The following is a 12,267-nucleotide window of genomic DNA, read 5'->3' as shown; positions in this document are numbered from 1 at the left end:
ATGTTTGGGTGCTGAGGTTTTGATGACCGTCCTCTTTCCTTTCTTTCACTGCCAGTCTGCAGAGTGGGCTCGGTAATCCCGAGAGACCAGTTTTGGGCCAACAGTTCATTGAGCAGAGTGATGCATGGGCTTGGGTATGGTTATTATGTGATAGCTGTGTAACACCTGTATTTGTGTTTCTGACATGATTTACCAGTTGTCCTGGGAAGTTTAGTCAAAGCCAGTCCATCTCATCCTGCCATTCCAAGCTGTGTGTCCTGTCAGTGTGGACATGGCGGGCTTGGCAGGGCAAGTCTAGGTTGGAGGGTGAATAGCCTGTGGACCCAGATGCCCTGGACCTTCTGGGCATCCTCCTGGGAGATGGGGAAGCTCAGGTCTGGTTTTGCCTCAAATGAGCTGTCTGTAAAAGTAGCAGCTGGGATTAGATCAAGCCTTCTCATCCTGGCCCATGGCAGGCAGTTGGGTATGGTGGCTTAAGAGCATGGGCTCTAGAGCCACACTGCCTAGGCTCAATCTGTTCTACTGCTCACTCTTCAGTTTCCTCATTTGGAACATGGACATCGTAACAGAGCTTTATAGAGATGTTGTGAGGATTAAAATGGGTAAGTATAAAATTCTAAAAAGTGTCTGACATAAAGCAAACTCTTCATCAGGCAAAATGTTAGTGTTAATCACAGATAGAGTTCAGGAACCCTGAACTGAAATGTGAAATGTGAGGTGGTTTGTGCACAGGGCTTATTGGTCGGGAGAGAGCTCCCTCAGGAGGTGGCAGAGTACAGTGGCTCTGAGGAGTGTCTGCCACACAGAGAGTGCTCTTTGCTGTTATGATGGGATCAGAGGGACTGCGTATGACTTGCTGAGAGCCCCCGAAACAGCCATGGTGCTTTGGACAGGGCTGGGATTGTTCATACACGTTTTGCTCTTTGTCACATTCATGCTCTGTCACCTGGGCCTGGTCAGGCACAGACTGGGCACTCAGAAATCAGTTATTGAACAAATGCACAAATGCCTATTTATATTTTGACATAAAGAGCAACAGCTACTTTAGCCAGCAGGCCTTGCAGCTGCCTCTGGTGGGGGTGGCGAGGAGGATGAGAGCCTTGTGGCAGTCCTGCAAAAATGCCTTGGGAGGATGGGATCCGGGGGTAGGGGACATGGCTGTGGAGCCAGCTGGCCTGGGCCCCACCCTGGTAGGAGCTTGCTTCTGTGATGGGAGCTGAGCTGAGAGGTGAGAGCAAGTGTGGCTTCTCATTAATGTGGATCCTCACTGAAGCTCACCAGCTGCCCAGCCTGGGGTGGAGGGTTGAGGGGCTCCCAGAGGGAGGGACCCCAGCAAGCCGGTGCTGAGGGAGCTGCCTCTCTGATGGACTTGCTGGCACCTGGCTTTGAGAACTGGACTGCCCTGTGTGAGGATGTGGCTGGACCTTCCCTGGGTTGTTTGCACAGTGCAGGGCTTGTTTCTGGTCAAGAGCTGGCTGGGTGCATGGGCTGCATGGGCTGCACATGCTTGCCTCTTGGCCTTCTCCTCCTCCTCTGCCTGCGGTAGCTGTTGCTTCAGTCACTCTGAGCTGGTCATTGTTCTTAGTGCCCTTGTCCCCTACAGGTCCCTCCCTGTAGGCTGACTTCTGGCTGACCTCTGGCAAAATGGCAGACAGCTATCAGTTTGGTTAGCTTGTCTTCCTTGGTTAGTCTGTCATCCTTCAGCTGTTGGCTGCTACTGTTGGACAGGACAGTACTGAGGACAGTATTCTGGTGGGTATGGTGGACTAAGGGTCCCCCAGGTAGACCCTGCCCTCTTCCTTGCCTGGGAAGTCTCATTTTCTGGGAAACCTTCCTTAGGAGTTCATAGTTGTGGAGAGGATTGTTTGTGGCTGGCCAGGGCACTGGATGAGGGGCAGGAGTCACAGCAGAGGGACCCAGAAGGTCAACACAGGGATGATCAGCAGGAGACTGACCACAGGACCGGGCCAGATGCTCCATTGAAACTAGGTCTGCTGATGCAGAGGTCTCTCCGGTGCCACTGGCTGCTTCTTAGGGCCTCCAGGTAGATTAGTTTACCTACAGAACTCTGTCTATGGTCTTAGAATAAGAGGACCTGGAAGAGTTAGAGGCTTGTTGGGGGCCATGGCAGGCCTTTGCTGCAGTTCTTGGAGGTTTCTTGGCCACTCCTGACAGTGGGAGCAGCTCTTCGGATTTCCCCATCTACCCTATTTGCGAAGGATGCCTGCTAGACCAGCATGGTAAGCCATGGGGCATGGAGAGAGCCCAAGGGTGTAGAAGATCTTGTCTGGACAATCTAGAAAAAATAAAGTTGATATTTCTTCACATTTGCTAACATTCATACATAGAATATTTTACATAAATGGAATTATATTTTTTATTTAATTTTTGTATTTAACTTATTTTGAGATCTTTGTAGATCAGTGCATATATAACTTCATTCTTTTTTTTTTTTTTCCTTTGGTAACAAAAGATGGAGAGGAAAGGTGGGAATGGGTCGGGGCAAGATTGTCTTAACTCGTTCTTTTTTTTTTTTTTTTTTTTTTTCCTCAAATGGAATCTTGCTTTTGTTGCCCAGGCTGGAGTGCAGTGGTGCAATCTCAGCTCACTGCAACCTCCACTTCCTGGGTTCAAGTGATTATGCTGCCTCAACCTCCCAAGTAGCTGGGATGACAGGCGTCTGCCACCATGCCCGGCTAATTTTTGTATTTTTAGTAGAGATGGGATTTTGCCATGTTGGCTGGGCTGGTCTCAAACTCCCAACCTCAGGTGATCCGTCTGCCTTGGCCTCCCAAAGTGCTGAGATTACAGGCATGAGCCACTGTGCCTGGCCTAACTCATTCTTTTTTAGAAATCTTTTTACTTTGGAAATATTTCAAACCTACATAACAGTAGGTTGACTTGGCAAGTGGAAACCCCTTCACCTGGCCTTTTCAGGATGGGAGCGTGTCGCCTTCTGACATGTTTCCATCAACTTGAAATTCCTTTTTACCAGGCACATCTTGTACCTTACCTGCCCCACACTGGAATGGGGCATTTTCCCACAGAGCGCTGGTTCCTTTTGGTGGGAGATGGTATTTAGAAAGCAGGATTTTGGTGGTAGATGTGTTTATTGCTAGCTACTAGAGTATGCTGCGACTCCATCTTTTCAGTCTAGCCCAAGAGGTGTGTGCATACGTGCATGTGTCTGTGCCTGTGTAAGTTCATACTGTTATTTTTTTTTTTTTATTTTTATTTTTTTGAGACGGAGTCTCGCTCTGTTGCCAGGCTGGAGTGCAGTGGGGTGATCTCGGCTCACTGCAACCTCCGCCTCCCGGGTTCAAGCGATTCTTCTGCCTCAGCCTCCCAAGTAGCTGGAACTACAGGCATGCGCCACCACACCTGGCTAATTTTTGTATTTTTAGTAAAGATGGGGTTTCACCATGTTGGCCAGGATGGTCTCGATCTCTTGACCTCATGATCTGCCTACCTCCACCTCCCAAAGTGCTGGTATTACAGCCGTGAGCCACTGTGCCTGGCCCATACTGTTTCTTTAGTTCTAATCCAGCGTTCCAGGTTCTTGCTTGCTTTCTCTGTTGCATGTTTGTTTCTCTCTTTTTCTACAGTGAGAACCCTGGCTCCCAACAGCATCAGTAGGTTTACTCATTTGCTTAGTCTTACACTGCACCCAGAATAGTTTCAGAAGTACTGCATTCGCACCACTAGTAACAGCAGACCTATTAAGTAGAATTTAATTTAATTTAATTTTTTTTAGCTCTTTGTGTTTTCAGATTGATGGTGTATACTCAAGGTTCTTGGGTTCAAAAGCTACTTGGATTAATTCTCTTCTCTCTTCCATGTGATTGTTACACAGTTAGGTTCAAAACTGTGTTGAGGCAGGGCCGGGTGGTTCACACCTGAAATTCCAGCACTTTGGGAGGCTGAGGTGGGTGGATTGCTTGAGCCCAGAAGTTCTAAACCAGCCTGGGCAATATGGCATCTCTGCAAAAACTACAAAAATTAGCTGGGCATGATGGCACACGCCTGTAGTCCCAGCTACTTGGAGGGGACTGAGGTGGGAGGATCGTTTGAGCCCAGTGAGCAGAGGTTATGGTGAGCTGAGATCATGCCTCTGCACTCCAGCCTAGGCAACAGAGCAAGACCTGCCTCAAAAACCAAAACCAAAAAAAAAACCTGTTTTGATTTGAAACCATGTTTATTAAATAATATTGAGAGTGGTATTTACTGTAACCTCAGTATTTATAACAAGCCCCTCTTTCATTACACTAATTGGTAAGGAAGCATCTCAATTTTGAACGGTTTTATTATTTTCCTAGGTTTTTTTTTTTTTTTTTTAAAAGATGGAGTCTTGCTGTGTCACCTAGGCTGGAGTGCAGTGGTGCGACCTCGGCTCACTGTAACCTCTGCCTCCCGGGTTCAAGCGATTCTCCTGCCTCAGCCTCCCCAGTAGCTGGGACTACAGGTGCGTGCCACCACGCCCAGATAATTTTTGTATTTTTAGTGGAGATGGGGTTTCGCCATGATGGCCAGGCTGGTCTTGAACTCCTGACCTCAGGTGATCCACCCGCCTGCATCTCTGAAAGTGCTGGGATTATAGGCATGAGCCATCATGCTCAGCCAATAAATAGATATTTTAAAAATAATTATTTTTCATTTCTGACAGTCCTGAGCCTTCGTTGATGTACTTTTGTCAAAACTCTTGGTAAATCACTTTTTAAGTTTCAGTTTCTTCCTGGAGACAAAAAAAAATAAATAAATAAAAAATAAAAACAAAAAAGAGTTTAGATGTTCAAGGGCTATTTGGGCCCAAGTGCTGACATTGTGAGCTTGTTGGTTTAACAGGGTCTCATTCCACCAGCCATCACCCTTTGTGTTTCCTCTCCATCCGATAGCTTGGGTTCGTGCTCTGATAGTCTTTGGGTATGCAGTGGTATGGGGGAGCTGTCTGAAGCAGGGGCTGAGGTTGGCCTGGGAGTTTGGGTATAGTTCTACACACCCTTTACCTGACAAGACTCATTGTGGAGGGGTGATCAGTGAGGCAGGTGGTAGGTCTGTTTTGGAGATTAGGATGCTAAGACCCAGAGAGGTTAATTAGCTTGCTTGGTGGCATCACTTAGCTTTTAAGTAGAAGCAAGAACAGGAAACTCAGGACTGCTATCCTGAGCCACATGCTTTGCCTCCTGCACCATGATTCCAAAAGCTGATGAAAGAGCTGTATGGCAGAGGGAGCTAAGTGGAGCGCCACCACCTGGGGCCTCCTGCCTAAGAACCGGGCACCTTTTCACTGAGTTGGGCATCGCTAGTGTTCACAGTTCTGACTGCACCAGCATCTTGTGTGGACACTGATGCTGTGATGTCTCTTTGGGCTTGGGTGATCAATTCAGGCCAGCTGGTGACCACCCTCTGTGATCTCACCACACAGTGATTGCAATCAAATCTACCTGTGTGTTTCCAGAAGCTTGGGAGGCTTATTAGAGTGTCACCTTCTTTTGTATGGACGGACTTTGTGGGTTTTCAACCGTGTGGATGTATTACTTCTTAACAAACATTCATGAAAGTAAAAGATGAGGAAAAGGTATTTTAAAAGGAAAAAAATGTGTATAACTGAATATAAAACATACTACTTAACAGAAAAAATAGATCTAAAATGCTTAGAACCCACAAAAAAGTTAAATGAAATTTTAGCTTAATGCTGTTGCATATTTCTGCTTTATAATTGCAGCATGAGATGTGATGTCTTTTTATAGGAAGTAGGTTTACTCATATTAACCTCATTTTACAGATAGAGAAACAGAGCTTGGGAGACTAAGTGACTTAGCCAAAGTCACACAGCTTTTAAAGTCATGGAGTGGGTATTTGAAACATGGGCAGCATAGAGTTCATGCTGTGATATTGCACAGCTTCAAGAGAAGTCTCTGGCTCTTTTTCCATCTACTCCTTGTCTTTCTCCTTCTGCCTTTTCTTTTTTTTTTTAATTTAATTTTATTTTACTTTAAGTTCCAGGATGCATGTGCAGAACATGCAGGTTTGTTACATAGGCATACATGTGCCATGGTGGTTTGCTGCACCTAACAACCTGTCATCTAGGTTTTAAGCCCCGCATGCATTAGGTATTTGTCCTAATGCTCTCCTCCCGCCTTTTCAATGTGAACCTTCCCACCCACCCTGCTTTTCTTGTCTTCTTCCCATAGCTTCAGCAGGCTCCAGGTGCCGCAGCCCTGACTCCTCAGGGCCCACCCCTGCTGTGTCCACACAAATGCCCCCAGGAAGCTGACACTTCCCCGCAGCCTGTTCCTGCAGTCCCTGCCTTGGTTCTTAGCTGATGCTGTCTTATCACTGCCACCCCATCCCCATTTCTGAGCATCAGGCACCCTCATCAGCACTTGGCATGTAATAGCTCCATTAACCTTAACTGTAACCCCGTTTTTTGGATAGAGTTTTTCGTGTGTTAAATCTTGTGTTCAACTTAGGTTTTGAAATAAGAGCAGGAAATGAAGCTTTCAGACTGCAAATGTTTCCTTTGAATGTTCTTTAAAGACCCCATATGATAGGACATGTGCTTTTTGTGAGTGTAACTCCCTGTGGTGATCACACTAAAGTTTGGACCCACTCTGTTAGACAAGGGAGGAACTGGGCAGAACTGCCTGCCCATGGCTGGGCTGTAGGCTCAGTCTCCTTTTAGATGCGTCAGATTTCTAGTCTTGCTTTCTTGCAGGAGTTACTTCATTCAGTTGTAATATTATCCTTAGGACTTTAAATCCCTCCGTATTTTATATGTGCTTTTCAGGGTTAGGCGGCTCCACTGCTACCGCAGTTTTTTTTTAATAACGTAAAATATGCCATCATAACCACTCAATTCAGTGTTCAGTTCATTCAGTGTTCAGTAGTGCCAGAGTATGTACCTTGTTATGCAACAGATCTCTAGAATGTTTTCATCTTGCAAAACTGAAACTCAGTACCTATTGAGTAACTACCCCTCCCTTTTATCTCTCTCTCCAGCCTGGCAACCACCGTCCTACTTCCTGTTTCTAAGAGTTTGACTGCTTTAGATACTCCATATAAGTAGAATCATGCAGTATTTGTCTTTTTATGTTTGGCTTATTTTACCTCAAGGTTCATCCATGTTGTAGCATGTGTCAGAACTTCTTTTTAAGGCTGAGTTGTATTCCACTGTATGCATATACTGCATTTTGTTTATTTAGTGTACACCTGGGTCGCTTCCACCTCTTAGTTATTGTGAGTAGTACTTCTGTGAGCATAGGTATATGAATATATCTTTGAGACCTTGCCTTCAATTAATTTTGGGTATGTACCCAGAAGTGGAATTGGAATTGCTGGATCATATGGTAATTCTATTTTTAATTTTTTAAGGAAACTCCATGCTGTCTTCCATAGTGACTGTACCATTTTACATTCCTACCAACGATGTACATGAGTTCTGATTTCTTCACATCATTGCCAACACTTGTTTGTTTGTTTGTTTTTGACAGTGGCTATCCTAATGGGTGAGGTGATAGCCTATTGTGGTTTTGGCTTACATTTCCCTGATGATTAAGGAGGTTTTTTTTTTCTTTTCCTTTTGAGACAGTTTCGCTCTGTCATCCAGGCTGAGGTGCAGTGGTGTAATCGTAACTCCCTGAAACCTTGACCTCCTGGGTTCAAGTGATCCTCCTGCCTCAGCCTCCCATGTAGTTGGCACTACAAATGCATGCCACCACACCCAGCTAATTTTTTGATTTTTTTTTTTTTTTGTAAAGATGAGATCTCACTTTGTTGCTCAGGCTGGTCTTGAGCTCCTGGGCTCAAGCAATCCTCCCACCTCCGCCTCCCAAAGTGTGAGGTTCATTTTCTGATATGTGGAGTCCAACTGTCTAGTACCATTTGTTGAAAGGTTATACCTTCTCCATTGAATTGTCTTTGTACCTTTGTCAGAATCCATTGACTACATTTGTGTAGGTCTATTTCTGAGATCTGTATTCTATTCTGTTCTGTTGGCCTGTGCATCTTTTTTTTTTTTTTTTTTTTTTTTTTTTTTTTTTTAGATAAATTCTCTGTTGCCCAGGCTGGAGTACAGTGGTGGGATCACAGCTCACTGCAGCCTTGACCTCCCTGGCTCAAGTGATCCTGCCACCTCACCCTCACCGAGTAGCTGGGACCACAGGTGTTCACCATCATATGTGGCTAATATTTTTATTTTAATTTTTGTAGAGACTGGATCCCTGTGTTGCCCAAGCTGGTCTCCAACTCCTGGGCTCAAGTGATCCTCCTGTCTCAGCTTTCCAAAGTGTTGGGATTACAAGTGAGAGCTACTGTGCTCAGTGTGGTCTGTGTATCTTTACTAAGCTTTTGATCAAAGACTTTTTTAATTTTAAAGAAGTCTGATTTATCATTTTTTCTTGTTATGGTCATGCTTTCTGTTTTTGTCTAATAAATCCTTGCCTACCCCAAGGTTACGAAGTTCTTCTCCTTCCCTAGTAAAATCTGAGCTTCGTGGGGGCAGACACCTTATGGTTCTCCTCCTGCTCTTCTCACTTGTGTCCTGTACAACACCTGGCCCCTAGGAGGTACACGGCGGTGTTCATGGAAGGAGCAAATGAGTTGTCTTAAGGATTCATAATAATGTATTCTAAGCACTTGATATACTGCCTGGCACATGCAAAATGAGCATTCAGGAATCTGATTTGACTACAGCTGTTCTTTCTCTTAGAGAAATTGGCTGCGCTATCCTGTGGCTATGATCGAAATGTGGTGCGAGTGTTGGATGAAACTGCTGGCTGATGTTTACATCAGATGCGAGATAGCTCTCGCTCCAGTTCTGTCCCACCCTCCTGCCCTGGTCTTATTCCCAAGTATGTAGCCCCTCCTGCCCGAACCCCCATGAAATAAGGACTGATTGCAAGTTGCTGTTCTTTTCTTGAAAGTGTCACTCATGGAATAGGTATGCTTGGTGGACCTGCCTTTCTCTTCTTTCATCTTATATGATCCCTTCCTTTTTCTTAGGACCTTCCCTTCTTTTCTAGGATAACTTATTTTAAACAGGGCCTTCTTTCCCAAACATCTGCCTAAGGAGAAGCCACAGGGCAGAGCAGCTGAGCCAGTGTTTTGGTTGGACAGCATCTACAGATAGATGGTAGCAGGTGGTGATCACTTCTTCTCCTGGAGGTAGAAAATGCTTGTTATTTATGAGAAATAAATGCTGAAGCATAGGCCTTGTCCCTTTGTTCTTGTGTGGTGTTCCCCAGTGTCAGTGTTGTGACCCCTTGGGCTGTGGGAGAAAGTGGCTGGCACTCCCCTAGCGCTTGGCAACCCTACTCCCTCTCCACTGTTGCAGGAGAGCTGGCCACCTGTCTCCAGTGGTGGTGATGGGGAGTCAGGAGCTCCAGGGTCCAGGGGAGGAGTGACTGAGGGTGGAGCCTTCACTCAGAGATTCCACTTGCCCCGGGGGCTGTTTGGAAATGGGTTTGGTGGTTATGTGTTTGGGGAGCTACTGCCATTTAGGGAGCCATATCAAAGAAGTTGCAGGCATATTTCAAAACCACAGCAGGAGTGTTTGCAGGTGTAAAATATTTTGTTCTAGTAACTGGCCACTGGTAGGGAAAAAAAGTACAATATGTTGGTACATCCTTGGCTCTGCACCAGACTGGTGGTGGGGCTCTGGTATCCCTGGGCTTTGTGCAGTGAGCCCCCAGAGGCTCTGCTGACTGCTGTCTCGGTGAAGGAAATGGCTCAGAACTGGAAAGTTTGGACCTGGTCCTCTAGGGAGTCAGAATGCAGAGCCCCACCCAGGGGCTCTGCTGGCTTCAGGGATGGGGATTTGGGTCAAAGAGCCCACAGCCTGACCTCTGATGCCCATTCTGCTGCTGCCAACTTGATGTGGGACACTGAGTAGGCGGGTCAGCCCCTCTGAGAAGCTAGCTGGCTGGACTAGTTGGGGGTTTCAATACATAGAACAGCTTCGGGCCTTCCTTCACATTTTGCTAATGAAACTTCCAATCTCATCATTTTCCATGAGCCACACATGTCTTGTTCCCGTTTGAACTCTGGGCCCTCATGGGTGAGGAGCCGGCTGGCCTCTGGGCTCCTTGTGGCTTGAGGTTCAGATGCTGGCATCGTTGGTGCTGTAGCCTGGTGGCTGCCAGTACAGAGGATGCTCAGGCCTCCAGGTATCAGCAGTCTTCACTGCCCCCTGCTGCTGAGACGCAGTGGCAGGTCAAACTGCACAGAACCCCTGGCCATGGTTCCTGCCTCCCATCCTCTCTTTGCCCTTGTGGGTCCCTCTCAGAGCATTTATCTCTGCAGAGGACCTCCCAGGATTGTTCCTAAGGGTGGCATATGTGAAACTTCAGCAGCTGAGCATTGTTGGAGTAATTTTCTCTTTTGGGCCTCATCACCTCCGTGGAAGTCAGGAGGGATAGGCAGGGCAGGATGGTCACCTCCATGCTTTACAGATGGAGGAAGCAGCCTGGCGAGGCTGAGCAGGGTTGCACGGGCCAGGAGCTGAAGCCTGCTGTTTGTCTCGCAACGGATCTCTGGGGCGTCTTTCCAAGCCAGTCTCCCTGCGTGGTTCCAGGAAGCTACAGGGGTGGGGAGGTTGTGTGCTGGCCTGCTGGTGCTACGGGGCAGTGGCAGCGATGGGGAAGGGGCTAGACGGGCTTCAGGGGAGAGCTGCAGGGACTGGTGAGCCGGGACCCCCAAGAACCTGGATGTGGGGCTTTGCGGGAAGGTTAGAGGTGGCCCTTGGACTCCATAAAAGGGCAGATGGCATTTGAGCACTGTAGAGAAGGCAGGGAGTTTGTGATGTGATCACAGTTGGTTCTGGGATGGTCTGTGCACTGTTTGGAATGCCAGGTCCTGCCTTTCCTCACTTCCTAGCTCTGCCCTCCCAGGTCTGCTCTCTGTCTGACGCAGGTTGGTGTTCTGATGATGCACTCCTCCATCGCCAGCCGCGTCCCTTTCTGGAGTTATAGCACATCCCATGAAGCTATCTGGTCCCGAAGTCCCTCTGGGGCCCCGGAGTACAGTGTGCCTTCCAGAGCGTGCATCGCTCCCTTCCCCACTGGGCAGCACCTGTTCAGAATGGGTGCTTGCCAGAGGCCTGCCCATGGCCCCTGGTGGCTCAGATGCTGGCCATCTCTGAGGCCCCATTCAAGGCCCTTATTATTCACTCTTGCCTCAGGACAGAGGTGACCCCTCCATTTAGAAGGTCACCGAGCAATATGCCCTCTGTTTTGTCTTTTAGTTGTGCTATCAACAGTGGTCTCTGTCCTCCCTATTTTTTTAGTTTTTGAGATGGAGTCTCATGCTGTCACCCAGGCTGGAGTGCAGTTGTATGATCTTGGCTCACTGCAACCTCTGCCTCCCAGGTTCAAGCAATTCTCCCCACCTCAGCCTCCCAAGTAGCTGAGACTACAGGTGTGCGCCACCACGCCCAGCTAATTTTTGTATTTTTAGTAGAGATGGGGCTTTGCCATGCTGTCCAGGCTGGTCTTGAATTCCTGGCCTCCGGTGATCCACCCGCCTTAGCCTCTCAAAGTGCTGGGATTACAGGCATGAGCCACCGTGCCCGGCCCTCTGTCCCTTCTTGAGGGCATCTGGAGAAGAGATGGCTGGCCCAGGGCAGAACCCAGCATCCACACCTCTGGTCTCCTGGAGATGCGTGGTCGCCTGTTACAATAGCCCAGCCAGCCCTTGGCTTCCAAACCTTCTCCCCTCTGCTGCTGCTGCTGCTTTGAAGTGTGCTGGACAAATCTCCCTTTCCTAGTAGCAACTTGTATGGAAGGTGAAATGACCTGTGGGAAAGCCCCACTGGGAAGCAGCTGCCAGCTCTTTCCAAGACAGAATGTGCAGTAAGGCTTTACTGCCAGGTGTGAGCAGGCCTGCCAGGGATGCTGGAACCTTCTGTTCTGGGCACTCCAGCAGGGCATGGGTGTCCCCTACCCCGGGTGTGGGAGTCTGTGTCTGATGGGTCTCAGACTGCTCTGGTGGAGACCTATCTTAGTGGGCTGTGAGTAGTGCGAGCAGATGGGCTGGAATTTCTCCTGCATTTCTTTGCTGGAAATGTTTTGATTTTCTTAGTGATGTAACTGTGGACATGTGTGCTTCTGCTAGTACTCTGTCTCCCTCTTGTTCTTTGTGGGCAAATGTTGAAGAGAAATCAATTCTAAACAATTTATGCAGCATACTAAATTTCACACAGTAATTTGAGACAGCTCAGTTTGAGACAGCCTTGAAACAAGGCTAAGGCTTGCTGACAAAGGAGAAATTGAA

At 47.6% G+C, this 12,267-nt stretch overlaps 1 protein-coding gene across 5 annotated transcripts in view, besides 5 other annotated features; it reads left to right on the top strand.

Annotated features, from left to right (window-relative positions):
• Nucleotides 1–12,267, top strand: part of DGCR2 (DiGeorge syndrome critical region gene 2) — an 86,127-nt gene that overhangs the window by 5,803 nt on the left and 68,057 nt on the right. The gene's annotated exons all lie outside the window — the stretch shown is intronic.
• Nucleotides 1,503–2,397: an enhancer, noted in NCBI's record as "H3K27ac-H3K4me1 hESC enhancer chr22:19101726-19102620 (GRCh37/hg19 assembly coordinates)". NCBI's record gives its function as "activates a minimal SCP1, AML or CMV promoter by ChIP-STARR-seq in primed H9 embryonic stem cells {active_cell/tissue: H9 hESC(primed)}" and the evidence as "EXISTENCE:reporter gene assay evidence [ECO:0000049][PMID:30033119]".
• Nucleotides 5,748–6,249: an enhancer, noted in NCBI's record as "H3K4me1 hESC enhancer chr22:19097874-19098375 (GRCh37/hg19 assembly coordinates)". NCBI's record gives its function as "activates a minimal SCP1, AML or CMV promoter by ChIP-STARR-seq in naive H9 embryonic stem cells {active_cell/tissue: H9 hESC(naive)}" and the evidence as "EXISTENCE:reporter gene assay evidence [ECO:0000049][PMID:30033119]".
• Nucleotides 6,250–6,752: an enhancer, noted in NCBI's record as "H3K4me1 hESC enhancer chr22:19097371-19097873 (GRCh37/hg19 assembly coordinates)". NCBI's record gives its function as "activates a minimal SCP1, AML or CMV promoter by ChIP-STARR-seq in naive H9 embryonic stem cells {active_cell/tissue: H9 hESC(naive)}" and the evidence as "EXISTENCE:reporter gene assay evidence [ECO:0000049][PMID:30033119]".
• Nucleotides 6,848–6,897: a silencer, noted in NCBI's record as "silent region_13452". NCBI's record gives its function as "represses an Ori minimal core promoter by ATAC-STARR-seq in GM12878 lymphoblastoid cells {active_cell/tissue: GM12878}" and the evidence as "EXISTENCE:reporter gene assay evidence [ECO:0000049][PMID:35858748]".
• Nucleotides 9,976–10,476: an enhancer, noted in NCBI's record as "H3K4me1 hESC enhancer chr22:19093647-19094147 (GRCh37/hg19 assembly coordinates)". NCBI's record gives its function as "activates a minimal SCP1, AML or CMV promoter by ChIP-STARR-seq in naive H9 embryonic stem cells {active_cell/tissue: H9 hESC(naive)}" and the evidence as "EXISTENCE:reporter gene assay evidence [ECO:0000049][PMID:30033119]".

The sequence above is a fragment of the Homo sapiens genome, chromosome 22, assembly GCF_000001405.40.
Source record: "Homo sapiens chromosome 22, GRCh38.p14 Primary Assembly".
NCBI classification, from domain to species: Eukaryota; Metazoa; Chordata; class Mammalia; order Primates; family Hominidae; genus Homo; species Homo sapiens.
Note: the sequence above shows the minus strand (reverse complement) of the source record. Positions and strands in the feature narration are given on the sequence as shown.